The 26,232-nt window shown below is 35.9% G+C and overlaps 1 protein-coding gene across 4 annotated transcripts in view, besides 1 other annotated feature; it reads right to left on the reverse strand.

The window, feature by feature from the left end:
- MOXD1 (monooxygenase DBH like 1) overlaps positions 1 to 26,232 on the reverse strand; it is a 105,421-nt gene that overhangs the window by 55,243 nt on the left and 23,946 nt on the right. For all 4 annotated transcript variants that reach the window (XM_017010714.3, NM_015529.4, XM_047418622.1 and 1 more), the window contains exons 2-4: positions 23,334 to 23,480; positions 21,533 to 21,700; positions 21,311 to 21,394 (exon numbers count right to left, since the gene is read on the reverse strand). In XM_017010714.3, coding sequence (XP_016866203.1) covers positions 21,311 to 21,394; positions 21,533 to 21,700; positions 23,334 to 23,480 — 399 coding nt within the window. The remainder of the gene's footprint in view (positions 1 to 21,310; positions 21,395 to 21,532; positions 21,701 to 23,333; positions 23,481 to 26,232) is intronic.
- Positions 3,074 to 4,273: an enhancer, noted in NCBI's record as "MED14-independent group 3 enhancer chr6:132675510-132676709 (GRCh37/hg19 assembly coordinates)". NCBI's record gives its function as "activates an origin of replication core promoter dependent on BRD2, BRD4, P300/CBP and CDK7 cofactors, and independent of MED14, by STARR-seq in HCT116 cells {active_cell/tissue: HCT116}" and the evidence as "EXISTENCE:reporter gene assay evidence [ECO:0000049][PMID:35650434]".

The raw sequence follows: 26,232 nt of genomic DNA on the forward strand, positions 1-26,232 counted from the left end.
ATATTGAGGTATGTTCCTTGTATGCCGACTTTGCTAAGAGTTTTAATCGTAAAGGGATGCCAGATTTTGTTGGATGCTTTTTCTGCATCTATTGAGATGATCAGGTGATTTTTGTTTTTAATTCTGTTTATGTGCTGTATCACATTTACTGACTTGCCTATGCTTAACCATTCCTGCATCCCTGGTATGAAACCCACTTGATCATGGTAGATTATCTTTTTGATATGTTGTTGGATTTGGCTAGCTAGCATTTTATTAGGGATTTTAGCATCTAAGTTCATTGGTTATATCGGTCAGTAGTTTTCTCTTTTGGTTATGCCCTTTCCTGGTTTGGGTATTAGGGTGATGCTGGTTTCATAGAATGAATTAGGGAGGGTTCTCCCTTTCTCTATCTTGTGGAATAATGTCAAAAAGATTGGTACCAATTCTTCTTTGAATGCCTGCTGTGAATCCGTCTGGCCCCGGACTTTTTTATTGTTGGTAATTTTTTAATTATCCTTTCAATCTCACTGCTTGCTATTGGTCTGTTCAAGGTATCTAATTTTTCCTGATTTAAGCTAGGAGAGTTGTATTTTTCCAGAAATTTATCCATCTCTTCTAGGTTTTCTAGTTTATGTGTATAAAGGTGTTCAAAGTAGCCTTGAATGATCTTTTGTGTTTCAGTTATCAGTTGCAATATCTCCCATTTTGTTTCTTAATGAGGTTATTTGGATTTTCTCTCTTCTAGGTTAATCTTGTTAATGGTCTATCAACTTTATTTATCTTTTCAAAGAATCAGCTTTTTGTTTCATTAATGTTTTGTATTGTTTTTTGTTTGTTTGTTTCCATTTCTTTTAGTTCAGGTCTGATCCGGGTTATTTCCTTTCTTCTGCTGGGTTTCGGTTTAGTTTGTTCTTGTTTCTCTAGTTCCTTGAAGTGTGACCTTAGAATGTCAGTTTGTGCTCTTTCAGTCCTTTTGATGTAGGCATTTAGGGCCGTGAACTTTCCTCTTAACACCACCTTTGCTGTATCCCACAGATTTTGATAGGTTGTGTCATTATTGTCATTCAGTTCAAAGAATTTTTAAATTTCTATCTTGATTTCATTTTTGACCCAATGCTCACTCAGGAGCAGGTTATTTAATTTCCATGTATTTGCATAGTTTTGAAGGTTCTGTTTAGAGTTGATTTCTAGTTTTATTCCACTGTGGTCTGAGAAAGTGCTTGATATAATTTCAATTTTCTTAAATTTATTGAGGCTTGTTTTATGGCCTATCACGTGTCCTGTCTTGGAGAAGGTTCCATGCACTGTTGAAAAGAATGTGCATTCTGCAGTTGTTGGATGAAATGTTCTGTATATATCTGTTAAGTCCATTTGTTCCATGGTATAGTTTTAATCCATTGTTTCTTTGTTGACTTTGTCTTGATGACCTGTCTAGTGCTGTCAGTGGAGTATTGAAGTCCCTCATTATTATTGTGTTGCTGTCTATCTCAATTCTTAGTTCTATTAGTAACTGTTTTACAATTTTGAGAGCTCCAATGTTACGTGCATGTATGTTTAGGATTGTGATATTTTCCTGCTGGACAAGGCCTTTTAACATTATTTAATATCCCTCTTTTTCTCTTTTAACTGCTGTTGCTTGTTGCTTTAAAGTCTGTTTTGTCTGATGTAAGAATAGCTACCCCTGCTTGCTTTTGACGTCCATTTGCATGAAATGCCTTTCTCCACCCCTTTACTTTAAGTTTATGTGAGTCCTTACGTGTTAGGTGAGTCTCCTGAAGGCAGCAGATAGTTGATTGGTAAGTTCTTATCCATTCTGCAGTTCTATATCTTTTAAGTGGAGCACTTAGGCGATTTACATTCAATGTAGTATTGAGATGTAAGGTATCATTGCATTCATTGTGCTATTTGTTGCCTGTGTACCTTGGATTTTTTGTTTTTTGTTTTTGCTTTTTAAATTGTATTTTTGTTTTATAGGTCCTATGTGATTTATGCTTTCAAGAGGTTCTGTTTTGATGTGTTTCTGGATTTGTTTCAAGATTTAGAGCTCCTTATAGCAGCTCTTGTGGTGCTTCCTTAATAGTGGCGAATTCTCTCAGCATTTGTTTGTCTAAAAAAGACTATATCTTTCCTTCATATATGATGCTCAGTTTCACTGGATACAAAATTCTTGGCTGATAATTGTTTTGTTTGAGGATTCTGAAGATAAAGCCTCAATTCCTTCTCGCTTGTAGGGTTTCTGCTGAGAAATCTGCTGTTAATCTCATAGGTTTTCCTTTATAAGTTAACTGGTGCTTTTGTCTCGTAGGTCTTACACTTCTTTCCTTCATCTTAACTTCATCATAACCTGATGATGATGTGCCTAGGTGATTATCTTTCTGTGATGAATTTCCCAGATCTTCTTTGTGCTTCTTGTATTTGGATGTCGAGGTCTCTAGCTAGGCCAAGGAAATTTTCCTTGATTATCTCCCCAAATATGTTTCCAAACTTTTAGATTCCTTTTCTTCCTCAGGAATACCTCTTCCTTATTCTTAGGTTTGGTCATTTACCATAATTCCAGACTTCTTGGAGGCCTTGTTTATATTTTCTTATTTTTTCTTTGTCTTTGTTGGATTGGGTTAATTTGAAGACCTTGTCTTTGAGCTCCGAATTTCTTTCTTCTACTTGTTCAATTCTATTGCTGAGACTTTCCAGAACATTTTGCATTTCTATAAGAGTGTCCAAGGTTTCCTGAAGTTTTGATTGTTTGTTCTTTAACAATCTATTTCCTTAAATATTTCTTCCTTCACTTCTTGTATTGTTTTTTGGATTTTCTTGCCTTTCGCTGGTGTCTCCCTGATTAGCTTAATAAGTAACCTCCTGAATTCTTCTTCAGGTTAATCAGGGATTTCTTCTTGGTTTGGATCGATTGCTGGTGAGCTAGTGTGATTTTTTGGGGGTGTTAAAGAGCCTTGTTTTGTCATATCACCAGAGTTGGTTTTCTGGTTCCTTCTCATTTGGGTAGGCTCTGTCAGAGGAAAAGTCTACGGGTGAAGGCTACTGTTCAGATTATTTTGTCCCAGGGGATGTTCCCTTAATATAGTACTCTCCCCTTTTTTCTATGGATGTGGCTTCCTGTGAGATAAGCTGCAGTGATTGTTATATCTCTTCTGGGTGTAGCCACCCAGCAAGTCTACCAGGCTCCAGGCTGGTACTGGGGTTTGTCTGCACAGAGCCCTGTGATGTGAACTGTCTATGGGCCTCTCAGCCATTGATACCAGCACCTGTTCCAGTGGAGGTGGCAGGGAGATGAAATGGGCTCTGTGAGGGTTCTTACCTTTGGTGATTTAAAGTTCTATTTTTGTGCTGGTTGGCGTCCTGCCAGGAGGTGGCACTTTCCAGAGAGCATCAGCTGTGGTGGTACGAAGAGGAAGTGGTGGTGGGCGGGGCCCTAGAACTCCCAAGAGTATATAGCGTTTGTCTTCAGCTACCAGGGTGGGTAGGGAAGGCCCATCAGGTGGGGGCAGGGCTAGGTGTGTCTGAGCTCAGACTCTCCTTGGAAGGGTCTTGCTGCAGCTGCTGTGGGGAATGGGGGTGAGGTTCCCAGGTCAATGGAGTCATCTACCTAGGAGGATCATGGCTGCTTCTGCTGAGTCATGCAGGTTGCCAGGGAAGTAGGGGAAAACCAACAGTCACAGGCCTCACTCAGCTCCCACACAATCTGAAGGGCTGGTCTCCCTCCCATCATGCCCCTCCCCCAACATCCTGTTTCCAGGCAGTAGATGAGCACGGCTTGAGAACTTGCCCCAGACTAGCCACTTCCCAGGTGCAGAAGAAAAAGGATTTGGTTCTTCCCTCACCCGTGGAGTCTGCACACCAGATTCGTGCCCTTCCCCAGGTTCTGGCCAGGAGGCTTCTTGCTGGATTCAAATTGTTACAAAGTTCAGCTGGGGACTTCCTTCTCCCTGTGGCATTTTACCCTGTGCCTCTGGTCACCCTCCCAAAAGATCCCTGTGGTACCAAGCAGGGATGGCATGCTTAGGGACCCAGTGAGCTCCCAGGTCCTTTCCCACTGCTTCCTCTATCCCTGTATTTTGCTCAGCTCTCTAAATTGACTCAACTCCAGGTAAGGTCAGAAAGTTCTCCCACAAACTAGACCTTCAGGGGTTGGAGTCTATCACCATTCTCCGGTATGTAGGCTGGGCCTGCTTCTTATGGCAGGAGCAATGGCGTGCTAATCCCAAACCAAGCCTCAAGTGGCCTTACAGTTTCTACTCTCTCTTTTGGAACTGTGCCATCACCATTTGAACAAGCCCAGTCTAGACTTCTAGAGAACAAGATACTATAAAGGAGAGCCCACTTGTTCAGCTGAGGCCTCCTAGACCTGCTTACAACCAGCTGACTCCCAACAAGAAGAGAGAGCCCAGGCACTATTAGAAAGCTGCATACCCAACCCAAGCTGGTTACATACCTGTTTGTAGCCCAGCTACAAACAGAAGAACCACCAAGCTGACTTGTAAACTATAACATGTGCTTCTTCATTTAAAGCTTATTTAAAGTTGTTGAACTTTGGGTTGGTTTGGTTCACAGAAATAGCTAACCAATAAAAATGAATAAAAAATTCTGGTATGTTCAGAAAATGAAATTCAAAGATGAAAATGAACACATTATTTTCTACAAACAACATGGCCAACTTGCACATCCCGTTCGGCAAAAAAAGCCAGACACAGAAGAGCACTAGCGTTTCTGTCTACCTACAAAAAATTCACAACAGGCAAAATTAGTAAAGAGTGATTTAAGTCAGCAAACTGGTGACCTCTGGGGACAGACAGTACCTGGGAGGGGACGCAAAGGACGCTTCTGAGTTGATACTCTATTCTTGATCTTGATTCTGGTTTCATGAGTCAGTTCACCTTATGAAAATTCAATGAGTTTTATACTGTTTGTGCACTTTTATCTAGGCAATTCAATAAAAGAATGTTTTAAAAAGAAATCGGTAAAGGGTTGAACAGCAAACTGACAGAAGAGAGCATAAAAAGAGCATAAGCCTCACTAGTAGTCTAAGGAAAGCAAGCCAAAGCAATCAGAAATATTAGTTTTCATCCATTAACAGGCAATAAATTTAAAAGACTAAAATATCCAGTGCTCAAGAAGGGATGAGAAAATATTCACATACAGCTAGTGTGTGAATTTTATAAAGTAATCTGACAAATATATTAAAGTTTGAAATACATGTAATCTTGATTCAATCCATTTAGCAATCTAGCGTATAGGAATGAAACCACCAATACATAACGATATACTTACAAGAACATTTACTGAAGCAATGTTTATGGTAGCAAAAAGCTTACAACATCTTGAATGTGCATCAAAAGTGTATGGCTGCAAAAATTATGGTTTATACATAATAGGAGATTAAATTATGTAAACATTAAAAATAATGTGTTATAATATTTTGTCCAGTAATGATGAGGGCATTAATTTGAAAAGCAAAATTCAAAGTAATAGATATAGAGTGATCCTAATTTGTTTACAAATAAAAGAGATTAACCCAAAAAAATCCTATATAAATGTTGTAAATGTTTTCTTCAGCATAAAGTTTTAGAAAAATACAAATAAATCTGTTAGCATTAGTCACCTCAGGAAAGTAGAATTTGGAGAAAGAGGGCACTACTACTTTTTATTTTATATATTTTTTACTTTTTTACTTATTATGAGAAGTATATATTACACTGGAAATGAAACAAATACACGTTAGAAAATATTCTCATATTAGAAAATAAAGTGTTCTCTAGAGAAAAAAACTCCTTAATCTTTCAAATGATGAGAGATAAAAACTCAACAGTTGTGACCTCTTTGCAAGATTGTTAAAAGCCAGTCCAGAAGCACATCATATCACATATGAATTTTATCTGATTATTAATTCAAGCTGAAGAAGAAATAAATTATCCCATAAAATATCTCTTAGCACTTGGAGTAAATATAGTTTGAAAAAAATGTGACTGAACTAACAATCTTTTGGAAAATTCTATTTGCTATATGAGTGGAAAATATTACTCAGAGTACTGACATTTCCTGTTTACCACTGAAAAAAGAACTTAGTTCTCTAACCTTGTAAATGTAATTCAACTGTGAATCTTACAAACACTTACAATAAGAGTTTGCCTTACTAAACAAATCAGGTTCATCTGGCAGTCCAGTTCTTAAAGGAACTAAACTTTATCTTAAAAGGAAGTATAGAAATAAAAAGGAAAGATAGTAAAAGTAATGAATTCCAAGTTATAAAGGAACTAATATACCATATAAAAATCTAGTTAAATATAAATATTTCAATTTTTCCCTCTTTTAAATGTCTCAGAAAAGTCAATGAAATCAAAGTGAGTGTCCAGCTGTTCTAAATTACTGGATAATAATATCCAAGTAATTTAGAGCTTTTTGAAAAGCTTTAAAAATTATTTAATTATAGATAGTTAAGAGATGATAAAATGGAGATATAAATCTTAGGTGTATTTTTTGCTTTGAAATTGTTTTATATTTCATATTTTGAAGGAGAGATAGAGATAAGTAATAAAAATTTATGACCTAAATTTCAATCTCAATTTCAATTAATTAACTGGATGAGAAAGGCAGTTTTTTCCTCTGGACTTCATTTTCTGCAACCATGAAATAAAATGTTGACAAAAGCAAACAGAAGGTTTAGACTGTTAGAGGAAAGAAGGATTACTATAAAATGACAATATTTCACATCTATTGTGCCTCAGGTGTTCCATAAACATTTTCCAAATAACTTTACAGTAGTATTGTGATAGGTCATATCTCCATTTTGCCAATGGGAAAACGGATTCAGAAAAGTTCTGTAAATTACTCAAGGTCATATAAGTGGTAAATGGTAGAGCCCGGATTTGAAATCAGGTCTATGTGACCAGAAAGACAGGAAGGGCCCTTCAAGCTTAGGTTCATATAGGTTAAATAAAGTGTTAAAGCTCCCCCTACTAGACTAAATAAATGGTGTTCATAATACACGTACTAATAACACCTATGTGTGTAGCACATTTGCACTGAAAAGAGTTCAACACAGTAATTCAGATCTCAGGCATTAGAATTAAACAAGGCTAGGTTCCCACTCTATGTTTACCACATCTCGCTCCATGACATTAGAGATGACATTACATTTTTCTGAGCCTGTTTTCTCATCTAGAAAATGGCAGAGGTAGTAAGTAAAGCACAGTGTTTGGTACATGATGAGCAATCCATAAATACTTGTCTTCTAAAATTCAATATTTTAAAAGCATTTTCAAAGTAATCTTGAGAAGATATGAATTGTTATTTTTATGTTATATATGGGTATATACTAACACCAAAATCATAAAAGTTAAGGGAAAAGTAAAGGGGCATATTCAAAAACCCTGTGTTTAGTTTCCATCCTAAAGGACCAATTTTACATTGAAGGTATGAGGCTAAAATCAGCTATTATGGAGAAAATACCCAATTTTATTAATAAAGGTAATTTTATAAAGACTATGGAAGATTGTGATGACTAAGAGAAACAAACATACATCTTTGGAGGATGACCTTAAAGCAGTATTTTTTCAAAGCTTGGTAAATAAATAAATAATTCCTTGAGAACTTTCTTTAGGCCCATGCTTCAGTAAAATAGAAAGCAAAATGAGACAAACCTTTTCTATAAAAAAACCCACATATATCACATACATTTAAATTATTAAGAAAACACAGCTGACATTAGCGATGGAAATGGACATGGCTCTAACAAACTCCACTGTGAAGTCACTGGCTCTAGGGAAGACCTTGTCATTTCCACAAGAACTGAAAGGCCATCGTCCTCTTAGGAACTGCCTGCAGCTTTCCTTTTTTTTTTTTTTCTGAGGCAGGATCTTGCTCTGTCTCCCAGACTGGAGTGCAGTGGTGAGAAAACGGCTCACTGCAGCCCCAAACTCCTGGGCTCAAGTGATCCTCTCATTTCGGCCTCCCAACTAGCTGGTACCAGCTAAATTTTTTAAATTTTTCTTTAGAGACAAGAACTCCCTCCATTACCCAGGGTGGTCTCGAATTCTCCTCCCAAGATGCTGGGATGACAGGTGAAAGCCACTGCATCTGCCTAGCTTCACTTTAAAGAACTAAATGGTTACATGCACATGTGTGCAATTAAGAGGCTGGTTTTATTTCTATTTTAGAGAATATGATACAAATTGCCAGAGTTTTTTTTTTCTTTTTCTTTTTTTTTTTTTTTTGAGACGGAGTCTCGCTCTGTCGCCCAGGCTGGAGTGCAGTGGCGCGATCTCGGCTCACTGCAAGCTCCGCCTCCCGGGTTCACACCATTCTCCTGCCTCAGCCTCCCGAGTAGCTGGGACTACAGGCGCCCGCCACGAAGCCCGGCTAATTTTTTGTATTTTTAGTAGAGGCGGGGTTTCACTGTGTTAGCCAGGATGGTCTCCATCTCCTGACCTCATAATCCGCCCGCCTCTGCCTCCCAAAGTGCTGGGATTACAGGCGTGAGCCACCGCGCCCGGCCCAGAGTTTTAACAATAAATAAAATTTGTTAAAGCCACACAGGAGTAATACTCAAGATAAAATTAGTGACCCCATTTAGGTATTAAAGGCCTCAGACTTCAGTCCTCCCTTCAATATTACAAAATGGGGACTTTGGTATGGTTAAGGTATTCTCTGATCAAAAAATCCATTTATCCTGACAACAAGTAACTGCAGGGATTCTGCATTCTAATTTGATGTATTAGACTATGGGTTTAAAGTTTAGCCAGCAGCTGTTAGCTGGCTTTAGTATGGGCAGATGTTGGTTGTATCAAGTATTCTTTGCCACATGTGGGACCAAGTGGAGCTTCCTCAGGGACCAATGTGTAATACTTCAGAATGTTAATGTTGAAGTCAGCGTCCTATTTTTTTAGTCAATGAATGCTGTTTTCTGTAGACCTAACAGTCACGTTTGGAGGCTAAACCAGCAAAAGTGTTTATGTCTGTTTACTTTTTAAATAGATCATCTTCCCCAGCAATGGGCAAATTACTTAACCTTTCTGGGCGTCAGTTTCCTCATCTGTAAAATGAAGATAGTAACACTGCCTACATCATAGGTTGTTTATGAGGACTGACAATCCCCAAATTGGACAGTTCTCTCAATAAATGTTGGTTCTTATCATCTAATTTTATCTTGATGCTTAAGCACATCAACAGAGGTTGCCTCTGTTTATGCCTCTGCAGTCATGCTCACCACACCACTACTTCCACCTACCTAAAATTCATCTACTCTGTGCTTTCCCCAAATTATTCTTTCCATATGGCATGGGACTGTGCCCAAACAATCACTGCTTTCTCCTTTCTTCTTCTCCTTTACTGCCACTATCACATAGCTTGACATGAATGTTCATTCGGCAGCTTTGGGGGCTCTCTAATATTTATGTGTACATCTCTTCCTCCCATCCAGACTGTGAGGTCTTTGGGCTGAAAAACTACGTGTTATATTGCTCTATATACAAGACATAGCACTGAATGCTGTCCAAAGCAGACACTCACTAGATACTCTGATTCTTCCTCACGATTTACAGGTGTAGTGTGAAGGAATGTTTCCAGCTGATTAAAATATATAGTGGGCATATCGAGTATACATCTGATTTCTGAAACATACCATAAACCAAAGTGTCTCTCCTATATTTTCAACATTTCCTCAGGACAAGCTAAAGACCAAGAGGCTATGGGAGCATTATTAACAGTTACTTACATGGTCTTGCCTTCACTAATTTTTATAATTCCACACAGAGCAATTCAGTGAGATTTCAGTGGTGCAAAGATCTCTCTTTATTGGTAATGAGATGCATTTTAAAGTCAGTGAGGTGGTTTTCAGTGTATGGTTCCTAAAATGGACCCATTACATTATAAACATGAATGTATAGCATTAACCTCCATGTATATATTTCACTAGAGCATAAATCTTTTTTCTGTCTTAGAAGAAATTACCCCTTCTATCTGAATTAGTTCATAAAACTCAGCTGTGGTTACAGGAAACAGCTGGTGTTTTTGCCTCTCCATTTTCACCAAAAAAAAAAAAACAGCAAGCAATGCATCAAGGAATAAACTATCTCAAAACCATAAACTGCTTAACTCTTCTTCATGTGCATGCAACTAACATAGTATATTTCGATAGACATTCAATATGTGTTCACCCTTTACAATATTTGTTGAATAAAATACTTTATTACTATAATAAGATGTATTACTGCTACTTAATATGAAGGGCATTTTACTAGGTGCCATAAAATGTAACTTGACAAATGCAATCTCCTGGGAAATTTTAATATATATAAAACAGTTATTTTCAAACAGAGGGTTTATATCAGAGTCACTTGGGGAACTTTTCCCAAAACACAGCAACAACCACTATCATCACAAAAGCCTGGACTCCCTCCCTAAAGATTCTGATTCTAACATGCACCCTAGGTTATGAATCAAGAAAAATACAATAATAGCTCAATGAAGCAAATCTCAACTATAACATTTTTGATATGTTAGTGTAGTATTTTTCTTCATAAAAGAGATATACTATTAAGCTCTTATATATAATCTGAATTTTTGATGCACAAATACATTCATGTTAAATGACCCAAAGAAAGTCTTGATACCTTAAAGAAGGTATTGATAACTCAGTAAAGGTGTGAAAAAGTATCCTCTGATTTATGAGTTTTATAAACTTGAATATAAAATATCTCACTTATCAAAAGTGAGTTTCCACATATAATTTTTCCTGCTAATCACTAAAAGCTCCATTTATAAAAACTATTAAAAATTTCATTGTTGTATCATAGGGCAACAGATATCTTCCTGTTTTGATAAGTATACAATTGTTTCCATTGAAAATAGAAAACAAAAAAATAAAATTGACCTGTGATATCCTATGGCAACACACAAAAATTATCTGAATTCCTTTCAAAATTTTAAGAAAATCTTTTATTATAATTTTATTCGTATATATTTATACACTTATTCTATAAATTTCCAACTTTGTCAATTCCAATAATACAATGAAAGAAGTCACAGAATTTTAAGGGTTAAAGATCACTTAGAACAACTTCTCAGTTATACAGATTTATAGTCTTTGAGTTGTTATTAACATGAATTTGGTCTCTTGAGAGGCATTGTGGTGCAGTCACATTAATTTTCAGCTGACCAAAGGTTAAAGTAAGATTAGAACCCAGACTGTCAGTCTGGTTCTTAGGTCTTTTCTGAGATGCCAACACTTCTAGTTTTCTCTCCAACAACATATATCTCTTCGTGTTTTAGAGCACTTTAGGTATTTTGTCATAAATTTAACTGCCAAGTGAAAAATGTTAGTATTTCTTCTCATGAGTAGCTTTTTACAGATCGTTATAGCAAAGGGGAATCAAACAGTCCATTACCATTAATTTCACTTAACTCCAAAGAAGATCTTAGCTCAGCTTAAACAGAAAGCTTTTGGCTTGCTTCCAGCAATCTTTATGCTACAAGACGTGTCCAATAAGATTAGCAGTCTCACTAACTTCTTTCCACGGAAATTATTTCCAATTCCTTTCTCCCTAATATCATCTCCAAGATTTAACATGAAGCCTTTTTGCAGCCATAATCTTTAGCCTAATCATCTTACTCTAATCTTACTTTAAAGACTTCCTAAATCACAAATGAAACTTCGTATGTGTCATCCATTGTTAATGAGCATTTGTAATCCCCAAGGGTGAAATCACCCAGTCTCTGTGTACTCATATGTGACTAGATCTAAGTCACTTTCCAGGATCTCTGGACTGATGTCTCTGGAAGATTCTGGTGGGGTCTGCTCACACAGTCCTGTGTCCTGTGTCTATGCATTAATTCCGTAGGACTCAAAAGTAGTCCAGCAGAATATAGTATTTTGCACTTCCAAATTTGTTGAGTGTAGATCTCATGTCAAATGTTCTTACCACAATAAAAAACAAAAAAAAAAAACCAAAGAGACTCAAGGAAACAAGGGAGGTGATGAATATGTCTATTACCTTGGTTGGTGATGTCACTATAAGTGTCTGCATATTTCCAAGCTCATCAAATGGTACACACTATAACTGTGCAGTTCTTTGTATATCTGTTATACCTCAACAAAGCTGTCAAAAAATAAAAAGTAGCTCAGGTTCTGACAAGTTTACTTAAAGAACTCATGGCTGGATATAAGCTATCAGACTTCTTCCACGCAAATTATTTTTCATTGTAACTTATGCATCTTGAAAAAAATAATAAGGCCTGGATAGATATTTAGAAGTAGAAGGCTAGCAAAATTGTATGGAAAAAGCCCCATTAGTATTGCTCAGAAGATCTGCATTCAAGTCTTGGCTCTACTTCACCTAATTTGTGTAATGTTGAGCAAGCTACATAAGCTTGCTGTGTCTCAGTGTGTTCATATGGAAAGTGGTGGTTATTCAACTTACTTTGTGGGAGGCTGTGAAAACCTAGTGAAATAATGTATTTAAAGTATCAAAAAAACAAGAAAGTATTTTACCTACATACTTCCTTGCATGTAAGTAAAAGTCATTCATAATTTAATGTTACCACACCTCTTAATCCCATTGTGCTATCAACATCTAGAATTCAACATAAATATCTTAGTATTCTTTCAATAAAGTGCTGTTAATTAAATTATTTACTAATTTTTATAATGAATAATTACCAAGAAATGTGCTAGTGCTATTCAATTTTCTCATCTAAACTTTTGTACTACCTGAAAAAGATATACAAGGTTGGAGTAGACTTGGTTGGTAGAAGAAAAATTAAAAAATAAAAAAAAATTGTTTCATGTCAGTTGAAAATGGCATTATTTTAAGGCCATAGAATGGAAGACTAATGGGTGACTTAAGAATGTCAAAGATTATTTCCCAGAGGATAGTCACCAGTTGGTTTTTATCCTTACTTAGACAAGAACAGGAGGAAATTAGCTTAAATTTCATTTGGGTTAGAGTAATGGAAGCAAGCTATGAAATCTAATTCCCAGGGAATCTTTTCTTCAAAATAAAATAGAGACTTACTGCCTACCATTGTTTCAGTGCAGCCCTGACTCCAAGAATGAGAAAACACTAGATGAAGTTTTAGTCATTCATCTCTATAATTCCCTTCAAGGGAAGAAAACAAGCAATGACGAGCCTATTATGCAACAGGTGTTTTCACTTGTTTTCATTTCATCTTTGCTGAAAATTATTTTCCTCACTTTGCAAGTCAAGATGCAAGCTATGAGCATTTAGTCTTCCCAAGGTTATCCAGTGAATGAGAAAGAGAGTTTGAACACAACTGCTAACTACCTCCAGAGCCAATTCTTGTACACTGCACCAACTTATCTCAGTAAAGTCTTGCTCACCCTGGCACTCCTAATTTTTATCTTTATTTTAAAATGACATTATCTCTGTGACTTAAGAGGTATCTGAAAACTGAAGCAAATTGGGAATATAGCCAGTACTTATTGAGCTATCTAATACATTGCCAAACATATAAGCACTCTACAGATACTGCCTTCATTTGATGACAGCTAACATACGAGGCAAATACGGTTATCAGCCCTATGTACAGACGGAACCTAAGGCTCAAGGAAGTTAAATTGCTTGCCCTGGATTCCACACTAGTAGGCTGAGGAGCCAAGATTCAAACCAGTTGCTCTGACCCTGTAGGCCATGGTACAACCACTAGATAATACGGATATTATAAAGATTTGTGGTTTCAGAATTTGATTTGTTGTGAATACTTTACATTTGCAGCCTTTCTGTGTTTAGAACCAGCTGTTCCCAAAACTTAATAGCCATTAAATAATATCAGTAACAAGTTTAGTTAAGTGCATGGGAATTTAAAGATAAAAAAGTGAGTGTTGTATAGCCCAGAAATAAGAAAGTCTATGAGCCTCTTTTTAAAAAATCAAGTATTTCTGTCAACAGACCAAGCAGCCACACATGTCTCTAGACATTCTGGATTCTCCTGGGGATTCTGGGGCACTTTGGCATGCTCTAGAAAGGACTAAGATGCCTCCAAACTTATCCTCCAAGTCCATGCTCGAGGTGCTAAAGAAAGGGGCCTTTTAACTTCAAGGGAGGCAGTGGCGTACTCAGTATTTTCACCTCAGCATGCCCTGTGACTGAAAAGCATGCATGTCAGGAACTCAGACCACAGAGCAGCAGCCAAACCCCAGCACAGACTTTTCTTTTTGTTTTCGTCAAATCACAGATATTTAGAAGTAGAAAGAGCCTATTGAGGTCATCTGGTCCAATCCCTTTATCTTACAGACAAGGAATTTGAGGACCAGGCAAGGTTAAGTACTTTCTCTAGGGTCAGAAAGCTAATTAGTGACAGAGTTAGCAATAAATCACTTCCATGAAAAGACATGCTTTCAAAGCAAATTTAATTACCTTGTACTCTCAAGTGACTAATAAGAACACCCATGTAGCTAGACGATCTCCAGTGTTTCCATGAAGTAGATGTAACTCAAGAGGATCTTGAATGAACTTTACAACATTGAACAATCTAAGTCAGCAGTCTTTCAAATGCACTAATTTGAGTCAAATCATTACTTTTAGGGGAAGTGTTCCTACCAACTTTTTTTCTGTACAAAGTTACAGTTTCAGCCACAGTAAATGCCCCAGTATTTTCATCTCTTGTCTAGTAGATAAAAAATAGATAAAACTTACAATACACTTAGAAATGAGGAATAATTTTTGGCATCCATAAACATTGTAACACAAATTATTAAAGGAAAAGATTCTTGATTTTTATAGCATAACTTTTTCTCTAGAAGATCAAGAATCATCTATTTTATCAATTGATGACAAAACCCAGAGGTGCAGGGGTAATCCATTGGTGTTAATAATTTAATAACCAAATAGAGTGTTGCAAAATATTTAAGAGAAATGGAAAGTATTTTCACGTAAGATAGATTATGAAAGTTAATTTATTTCAACATGAATCTAGCTAAAAATCCAAAGATTTGCCTTTAGAAAATAAATAGAGTTAAATAAGAAAAGATAGAAGGGAAACATCAATAAGTAAGAAGAAAAAATTCTAGAGTTGGAATGGATATGGGTTAAAAACACAAATAACCATTAAGTCAGTAGTTAACAGCAAACACCTAGTCTCCCATATGAAAAAGTGAAACAGAAGGTGAACACATAAAAAAACAATGAGAACTAGACGGGGCAGTCTGTGCAAATGCAGGCTGACAACAAACCAAAATGCTGTTTCCATCGGGGGAAAAACTGCATCAATTAAAATATGTCTTGAAATATTATTTCAGGAAAGAAGGAAAGAGATATACTGTCAGAGAAGAGCTAATTCTGACAGCCATAAAAGCATGTAGTTTGACATTGAGAATGCTTAAATTCCCACAGTTTACTAAATTTAACCCCAAAGACTTACACATTCTCAGAAAATAGAAACCCTCTATCGCACTTAACATTTCAGAAACGTGTTAATGATAAGGTTTTCCATTTGACTGTGTCTTTTTAAGTGAGCACAGTAGAAAAACAGGCAGCAATGTCCATTTGACATGTTGTATTAAGCCTAACGTTCATGTTAGGTGCCTACTATAGGAAAATCAATTTTCGAGTGGCTATTTCATGGCTCTACAGTAATCTGGCTTCAAGGACATTCCATGGCTATTCAATGTCAATTATTCTTAAATTTTCATGTTCTAGGAAACACTCCCCAAATGAAATCATTGAGATTTATGAGTGCTACCAATAGAAGAGAACAGAAGCATGGATATTTCATGGGAGAAAAAAGATGTTCTGTTCAGTATCAAGTAATAAAGCATAGCATTTCTCTTCCTGTAGCAATTGATGATGAAGAGGATGATGACAGTGTTTTACCTCAACTTCACATTTCTCCAAAGCTGAAAATTTTCAAGGTGACCTCCCTAAATGAAGTGATGGACAAACTAGGTTTTCTTTGGAACTCTGACTGCCTAGAAAGGGTTGACTTGTTTGGGATCCCTCTGTAATCCAGAAACCTAACAAGATGATCAACAGATTAGCAATTGAGTGTTGCTAGTGATCTACAAAATTTTATTGAATTTACTTACCTTGTTTAACAGAAATTATGTTCCCAGCACTGTTATAAATACTTTATAAATATTAAACTCATTTGATTCACTTAATACTCATAGCAATCTTGTTAGGTAAGAACTATTATTATCACCATTTTCCAGAGGAGGAAACTGAGGCACAGAGAGGTAAATTGATTTGCCTAAGGTCACACAACTAGTAAGTATAATCCTCTCTTAAAACCCAGCAATGGTCAGCCTTTAAGCCTGATACTGCATCCTTTTCCGGGCCTTCTCACTAAATGGGAGTTTTCAATGAAAAGTCATTCAGGGAGCAACATTGAAAATAAATAGTTGCCTGATCATAATAGTTGAGTTTATTAATAGTTTTGTAAGTGTCAGATACTGTGCTAAGTGCTTAAAAAACAACAACTCCTGTTTGATCCTTAATGTAAGCAATTCCATTAGGAGGCACCATTTCCATTTAAATGAAAATACTGAACTGTGTGTGGCTAACAACTTTTCTGTAAGTTACATGACTAATAAATGGAAAGAAGGAATTCAAACCTGAACTATCCATCCAGTCACGGAACCCACCTACCGTAGTATGAGGTGTACTGCCTCCCTATTTAGGGAGCTAGTCCTTTAAGGAGAGAGGACTAAGGGATGATGATTTTGGCTGGCTGTTTTTCTTTTTTTCTCCCCTTTGCCATAATAGGCCATCAGCAAATTTTCTATTAAATGGAATGAGACACATCACATTTAAACAGATATATTAGGAGTGTAGTTCATCTATGAGAATTCCAGGACAATAAAAGCACCTCAAAAAAAGCAGCGTGTTAAGCCAATTCAATAACCCCCATTTCTAGCAAAGTATATCCAACCACGACTAATAGTCATGGCAATGCCATTACTGTTGACTAAAGAGAGTGGTAGAATCAACCGTCTTTAAAAAATTTTAAATTTACGGTAAAGTCACATCTAAAATAAAGCTTAAAAAGAGTCATGCTGAAATATGGAGAGGTGGGCTGCAGAGTGGTCTCGAGTACCTGACAAAGAGATGACCTCACATGAGAAGTACAGTTTAAATATAAATTACCAAGAATATTCTTTTCTACAATTTCCATATTCACCTGCAATGTGATATGCTGTCATCTGATAATACCCACATTTTCAAGCCACAATTTTCAACATTTTGTTAAGAATCAAAATACAAATCAATAAATTGAGATCACAAACGAGTTTCAACAGCCAATAATTGTATTATAATCCTATCTTTTCTAGAGATAAAATCATTTATGTTTATTTTATATTTTAGTCATTTTAGAGATTATTTACCTTATTTTATAATTTTAGAAGCAAATAATTTTTACATGGTTAAAATTTAAATTTTAAATGTAATAAATATTTTTAAATTTAGTCATTCTTATCAAACTACTGATATATTTTCTTTGCTTAGTCTTATAGTTATTATAAGTATGAAATGTATGCAGTAGTCTTCCCTCATCTGAGGGGAAAACATTGCAAAATCCCCAGTGGATGGCAGAAACTACAAACTCTACACATACTATGCTTCTTCCTATACATGCATTAAAGCTTAATTTATAAATTAGGAGATTTCCAAATACTTTCTTGTAAGAGCTTAATAACAATAACTAATAATAAAGCAAAACAATTATAACAATATGCTGTAATTAAAGTTACGTGAATGTGGTCTCTCTCTCTCTCAAAATATCTTATCATACTGTACTCACCCTTCCTGTGATGCGAGATGATACAATCCCTACATAATGAGATGGAGCATAATGAATAACGTAGGTATTGTGACATAGTATTAGGCTACTACTGATCAGAATCTATATTCCTGAATCTCTGCAACTATTCCCCACTTGCAGTAAATGGCTTGGTGTCACTCATTTCAGGCAATCCCTTGTTGAAGTCTTTGTATAGGCTCAATGCTTTCTAGTGCGGCACGTTGCTGTCAATCGGAAAACGTTTCTGTTCATGTCTTCTACCCACAGATTTAATGCCTTTTCCATTTCAACTAAGCACTTATCATGCACTGTGGCCATAACTTTTGCAGTCTGAAGTGAGACAGCAAAATTGGCATGAATTTCTTTTTCCTTCTTCACAATTTCACAGAGAGAAGATTCATTCTTAGCATAGGTCTTAACAACCTTATCATTTTTTTTTTATGAAGTTGAGAGCTTTCTCCTTTTCACTTACAGAAGCACTTGATGGCTTCTCCCGGGCATATCTGAATTGCTAGCTAGCATCATTACTCTTGTGCTTTGGGGTGCATTGTTAAAGAAAATAAGGGTGACTTCAACACAAGAACTCTGATACCATGACAATCTGATAACTGCAAGAGTAAGTCTAATAACTGAGATGGCTACTAAGTGACTAACGGATGGGCAGCGTTTCCAGTGTGAATATGCTGGACAAAGGAATGATTCACGTCCCAGCTGGAATGAAGCAGGACAGTGCAAGATTTCATCAAGCTACTCAAAATGGCATGCAACTTAAAATTTATGAATTGTTTATTTCTGGAATCTTCCATTTAATATTTTCAGATCACAGTTGACCATGGGCAACTTAACCCATGGAACCACAGATAAGTGGGTCTAGGCACTATCAACATTTAAACTGCAAATACAAACAAATTCTTTGTGCGAATTAGACACCAGAAAATGAAACTGACTTCTCACAATTCAACTGTGATCGATATTCTTAAAACTCACTGCAAATGACACACCACACAATATGATATAAAATCAATCTTCTCATTTCTGTGAAAGTACTTTTTGTTTGCAGAAGAAAAGGACTGAGGCTTTTTGATACAGTGATTTATGGAACATAAAATGAAAAATAAGGAGAAGCTCTTAACTGATGGCTTTTCAAAACATAGGAGTCTTTGATTTTATGGAAAGAATATACACTTTTCTTAAATTATTAGAAATCCTCTCTACTAGAAAAAAGAGCATGGAAATCAGACAACTTAAGGCAAGTCCTAGATTTATGAATTCTACATCATTAAAATTTTGTTGAAATCTTGAATAAGTTGCAAATGAAAACTGGTTTTGAAAGGCTGCCTTAAAACCACTTACATATTACTAAATATTTTGAATTTATTTTTTCAGTAGAGTTTTCTTTATTTTTTGAATAATATCCTATTTTAGTTAATTTTCAAGGAAAATGTTTCATAATACTTAATAAACTTTAAAATATTTTAAGGTTTAGCAAGATAAGGAATCTATCCTATAAGTGGTATTCTCACATAATAATAGGATTTTAAATTCTAGCCACCAAACCTCTGTCCCCTGTAACAACAAAAGTTTGTATGAGCACTCCCTTATGACCTACTGTCCTTCCCTCAAATCCCTTTTGCTCAAGGTAAATAACTTTTGTTGTCTAGAAGACCTCCAAACATTGCAAAAAATGCTCCAATGCCTTTCATGTTAATGCAAATGTCTAGTGAAGACAGCTATGTATTCCCAAAAGTACTTAATTCTAAGTTCATGTGTCTGAGAATTACTTGATACGCTTCTTATAGGAAAGTTTATCTGAGTATCATTTAATATGCTTCATATAGGAAAGTTAGTGAAGAAAGATGAGGTACCAAGCAAATATCCTACATAGAGGGTTGAAACATACACTGACCTCCCTGAAACATACATAATTATTTTATTTCATTCAACTCAATTATTAGCATTAACAATGGCAAGAATAAAAATGCATTCACAGTAAGTGGTTAAGAAATTTACAATTAATGTTTGCCAGAAAGTGGATAAAGGACCGGTTGTTTGAAACATTTGTTTCTATTTCTGAATCTACAGTTTTACATTTGCCTCTTAAGCCTGGTTCCAGTTAAATTTACTGCAAATGACATACAGTACATATAAATGAAACATTCTCTTTCCTGAGGAATACTTTTCATTGGTACAAGGGAAGGACTTGGGCATGGTATTAATTATACAAAATTAGAATTTGCATTCCCCTTTTCCATACACAAAGTAGAAAATAACTTATTGCACAGAGGTAAATGATTCACCTGCAGTCACAGTCTCCTGTTTGCAAAAATAACCTATAAATATTTAGGACTACATATTAACTCAATAACATTCCCTAAAGCCACTCCCTTTGCCTCTGTATGTAGTTATGAATCATTTTGTAAACCAAAGGCAGAACTGTAAACAAAAATATTTGTAAACAAAAGAAAACTAGGGAAATATATTAGAAATTAACAAATTTTAGCCACGAATAAACTTATAGAATGTGCTCAGTGTTTCTATCTCTGCTAAAATGTCTTGAGGTTGATAGGAAAAGTGTTATGGCTGTCCATCTTTTACAGATGAGAAAACCTAAGGCTACAGCATTACCCCAGAGTGACTTACCTGAGAGCACATAGTTTAATTAAAGGGTGGACTTATGATTCTCAAACCCATGTATTTCCCTCTAGATTCCAGAGTCTGGCAATTCATTCCTTATCCACATCGCTTCATTACATAGTCTGGGAACTGACAGAAAGGCAGCAACATCTGGCCTTCTGAATGTTTACAGTATTCTGTATGCACTATTTAATTCTATCTTATTCTTTCTTGTGTCTTGGCCATGTCTCCCCAATCTCACTGTAAGTTCTTTGAGAGCATGGATCATACCTTTGGCCTCTGTGGAATTAACAATTACTAGCACGGAGCCAAGGACTTGTAACTTTTTAAAAATATTTGTTCATTCGCTAAGTAGATGCAAAAGTTCTGGGAGGCCCATTCCAGAAGGGTGGAAAATAATTGTATTGCACAGGCAAATTGGGTTTATTTACTACCCAATTCTGTATTTCTTTATTTCTGTAGAAATTCACTAATTTTCTTTTTTCTATTTTCAAAAAATTATTATAACTGTTTTTTTATGACAATATCCAGTGTTTTCAATGAAGCAGATGTTCTCAAACACTATTGGTGAGGAATGTAACCTTCATGGGTATAATTTATCAATACGTAAACATACTATTTTAAATTGCAATTCCAGTAATTCCAATTGTAGAAATGTTGCCTAAAATAATAATTAGCGGTGTTCATGTGCATACCAAAACTTGTACCTTTGACATGTAAAATTAGGAGATAACCAAAATATTAGATATAATCCAAGCTTTCAGACTCTTGAAAAAGTATGCAGGTCAGCCAAGCCAGTTCTTTTTTCTCTAAAAAACTTTCAAATAATTGAAAAACATTTCTATACTTTTACTGTTTTCATTATATTAACATCAATTTATTTTTCCACTCATGAAAATTAATTTTAGCCTATGAATGAGTCACATACCTTTATTACATGATGCTTTTCTTGGAACACAGGAATCTTAAACATTTGGCACCAATATGTTGTATCTTTGTTTGGGATGGGGACCTGTCTTAATAAAAAGGGGAGGAAGACACAAAGTCACCTTCTCTTAACATGCTCCTGAATACAATAATGTAAGCAAAAATGCTCGTATACACTTTCAATAAGCCCATCCCTACAATCATAAAACCTGAAAACACTTACGTCCTGATTTACCAGATCAAAGTATGGTAAGGCTGTAGATAGCACACTAGTTTTCTCAGGATTCAATAACCGCAAACTCTTGGTGCCCCTATTGGAGTCATGGTACTTGGGACCAGCTTCTCCTGCATCTTCATGGTGGTAGGCCCAGATCACTCTCACAGTGCTATCCTGGGGATCAGACATGGGCATGATTAGGTCTCATGAGAGCACTTTCCTTACCACTGAGTTGAGTTTAAAGAACTCTATTGTAAACAAGATATAGAAGTGAAGAAAAGACAATAATGACATTTGGAGTTATCAACATGGTCTCTAATATTAATTGCACAAATTTGATTAAGTCATTAAGGATCCAAATATATGAGTTACTTTTTGGAAGGAATCATCTCTCAGCATGCAAGATTATGTGTTCCAAAACATACTGAAGGACAATTGACTCAGTAATTACACTTTGAAGTATATGACAACAATAAATCATTGTCACGCCAAAACTTTAACCTTGCAACTGGTAGCTTCTAAACAAATATTCTTGTTCAGCAGCAGAGACTTTGGAAAATTAAATGCCATGGAAGATTTTAGGGAAAAATTAATACAATAAAAATTAAAATTACCTAATACTTTTCCTTTTACAGTAGATGTTTTCCTAGGCACTAGCCTAGTCACACGTATACATTTACAGAAAATATAAATATAGAAGGATTTCTGATTCTGAGTTTTTAAATCATACTACAGTTAATCTACAGTCATTTTATGAATCCTGGGAATTTCCTAGGGACTGGTTTACCACAACTATGGAAAGTACTGTCAGATGAAATCGGTTTCCATTGAGCAACCAGGAGAGATTGCCCAAAGGGCTATGGGTTGGGGAGGGTTTGCTGGGGTGTAAAGAAATTGTTCAATCCTCTCACAGATAAAGGTGTTTTTGCCAGATCTTTGTAATAAGAACTTTGAAAATAAATAATAACGCAAAAGTATTTTAAATGTTCTCTTTGCTATATTCTTTCTTAATAAGTCAAATGACTATAATTATTATTCCAATTAAAGTATAATTGCACTGTATATTGCATTAAAAAGTAATCCCTCTCTTTGCATGCATTTTTTCTGCCTCGTTCACTCTTTATGCTGAATGTTAATCAGAACTGCTTCATATTTTTTACATTCCCATTTTTGAAGCTTTGATTTACAAAATAAAAAGGTAATCGTATTGGTCTACACAAAATAAAATTAATCCAAACAATTCATGGAAATTTCTGAAGTATTACATATCTTCTAAATATTTAATTTGAATGCACATAAAGATATTAATTTTTGCATGAAGTCTGAAAATAAGAAATCTCATTTAATATACCAATAGGCAATTATAATCAGCCACCTATTCATCTTGATTTTAGAAATTTACAAAGATGAGTCCATTACAAATCAGATGAATTATATCCTAATATTCAGATTCATAATTCTTTCTTGTGTAATACATTTCTTCAAACATTTATCTGTTGTGTATTTTCAAACTTTATGGAGAAGAAAGTAAAATGTATTTATGGCTAAATCATACAAATTTTAAAGGGATCTTCAAAATGTTAAACTCACACAAAAATGGATTTTATTGAAATTTTTGGTCTTACACATTTTTGGCTTCTAAAAAAGTAAAAAAGAAAAAACTAAAAAAAAAACTAAAAAAAATCAAAAAAGATTTCAAAAATATTAGAAAAAAGACTATATGACTTGTTTCTCTTATTCTTTAAAGTGCTTCACAAGTGTAAATATACAATTTGTTCATGCATGCATTCACTCATAGATGCCTTACCGTTATACTCTTGTCATTTATGTCACATGTATGCAGCTCTCTGGTAAATTCAATTATTGTGTGTGTGCTATTTTCCATGGCATATTCTAGATGGTAATCTTGCTGAGCATCTTTTTTCAACTCTCTATTTGCATTTGTAAAATAATCCTGTGGAAAATATGGAAAAGAAAAATCAGGATACCTAAATACAGAGAGAAAAGAATTCATAGGACCTTTAAAGACAAAGTCTTGTTGTCTAGAGTTATTTTATAAATCCCGGGAATTTCCAAGGGGCTGGAGTATTCCAACTGGGGAATCAGGTCCCTGGGAAACTAGTCCATCTTTGAACTTCTGGCCTTTCAGGAAAGCATAGTGTAGACTGATAATATCGTAGAGCATCAAGAGATGGAATGAATGAACATTTGATACCATTGTGTGCCTTTCCTTCCTTGGAAAAATTAAAAGAGGGACTATAGCACTATGAAATGTCTTACCGCAAAGTTTGCATTTATACAAAAAAAGTTTGATAACTAGTTAGCAGCAAAGCCAGAATCAGCCCTAAGGTCATCACTCTTTCCATTACAACTCCTGGTGGAGCCCCACTTCACCATTCATAAAAGCAAAGAGATCCGTGGGCAAGTGCGGATTATAGGTTGTTTCAATATGACTTTTAATGGCATATCCTTATTAAAATAAAATGCAATGGGAAATATGCAAAGAAACAAAACTAGTTGAATTACACGATATTGAAAAACTAGGGAAGTTTTGTTTTGGGGGATTAGCCATAATTTTTGTACTAAATTTGTTCAACGGTGTACCTATCACTTCTTTTTGAGACGGAATCTGGCTCTGTCGCCCAGGCTGGAGTGCAATGGCATGACCTCTGCTCACTACAAGCTCCACCTCCCAGGGTTCACGCCATTCTCCTGCCTCAGCCTCCCGAGTACCTGGGACCACAGGTGCCCACCGCCACGCCTGGCTAATGCATTTTTAGTAGAGATGGGGTTTCACCATGTTAGCCAGGATGGTCTCGATCTCCTGACCTCGTGATCTGCCCATCTCGGCCTCCCAAAGTGCTGGGATTACAGGTGTGAGCCACCGCGCCCAGCCAGTGTACCTATCACTTCTGGGAGGCAGACCAGTGCAGTGGAGAGAACATGGGCTTTGGAAGAAAATGACTAGGATGTGACTCCCAGCTGTACTCCTAAACAGCCTTGAAGAATTGTTGAAGTAAAACTCTGAAAGCTTAAGTTTTAACATTACTAAAATGGGGATAATACATACCTATTTTATAGATTTTGAAAAATAAACAAATGAGATGGTTTGGGCGGGGTCATAACTGCCTACATGGTTAGCGCCCATTCGATACATATTTTCTTTTTTGCACCATAGTTTGGTTTTATCCCCAAAATATCTTCTTATGCCTTTTACCATTCGCCTACTCTGTTGAGTCATCCAAATCAAAGTATTAATTTTTGTCACTTATAAAAGACACAAAATTTGCCTTAATTACTGCCTTTCTGGTTTTTCAGTACCTGATGATATTTTATTTTTGAGAAGTTGTACAGTTGATTTAGAATATACATGCTGAAACATAATTATAATTACTTTTGCTAACAGTAAAATTGTATTTGAAGAATTTATAGCTATGTTTGACTGAGAAAATGTAATATATAAGATAAAACCTCCCATTGTCTATAAAAGTCATACTCAAATAGATGGCATTTGGCATTTTTATTCCAAGCATCTTTGTATGGTAATTATAAGTGTGCATATGTTTCCCATCCAGGGTACCACATCTAGATTTTCTTTAGTATGTTAAAACCCCAAATTGTTGGCAATGCAGAGTCTAACTCACCTTTCTTGACAATGGTAACAATAACTACAGCTTCTTTTTTTTTTTTTTTTTTTTTTTTTTTTTTGAGACGGAGTCTCGCTCTGTCGCCCAGGCTGGAGTGCAGTGGCGGGATCTCGGCTCACTGCAAGCTCCGCCTCCCGGGTTCACGCCATTCTCCTGCCTCAGCCTCCCAAGTAGCTGGGACTACAGGCGCCCGCCACTACGCCCGGCTAATTTTTTGTATTTTTAGTAGAGACGGGGTTTCACCGTTTTAGCCAGGATGGTCTCGATCTCCTGACCTCGTGATCCGCCCGCCTCGGCCTCCCAAAGTGCTGGGATTACAGGCGTGAGCCACCGCGCCCGGCCAACTACAGCTTCTTATATGCACCAGGCCCTGTTTACACCTGTTACATGTATTAACTAAACTAATCTTCAAATCACATCTATCAGATAAAACTATTTTTCCATTTTACAGATGAAGACATCAAAGAACAAAGAGGCTAAGCGACTTGCCCAGGATTTACAGCTAGTAAACCGAAAGGCAGGATTCAAACCTTGGCACTCTGGCCCCAGAGTCTGGATCCTTTTTCACTCTTCTACAGTGTAGTGGCCACTGCTGGGATAGGATGGGTACGCTTATTTTTGTTTATTTTTTTCTGTCTCCAGAAATTAGCTATGTCAGTTTTTCACATAAAATGTTACTTTTCTTCTGCCAAAGTTGAGGTTTGTCAAAATTCTTATTTTGAGAACTGGGTTGCAATTGTGAAAGCAATTTAAATGAAATACTCCTGTGAGTCTGTGATTTTCCCATTTTTCATCACATAGATTTTCAATATGTAAATGAAATAACAATGTCTGTAGACAATGAGAGATTTAGATCAGTTAACTGTGCCTTTTCACTGAACTCATATTTCATTACATGATCCAAGCAGTTTTTGCAATACAATACAAACTGTAATCAGTTCAAAGAGTAGAATAATTATCCGAGTCTTGCAAATATGTTTCCAAAACCATTATTTCCACAAAATATCCAGCTGGTTTGCCAATTTTCCACTCATTCTATTTCCACTCAACAATACCAAC

This window comes from Homo sapiens, chromosome 6 (assembly GCF_000001405.40).
Source record: "Homo sapiens chromosome 6, GRCh38.p14 Primary Assembly".
NCBI lineage: Eukaryota > Metazoa > Chordata > Mammalia > Primates > Hominidae > Homo > Homo sapiens.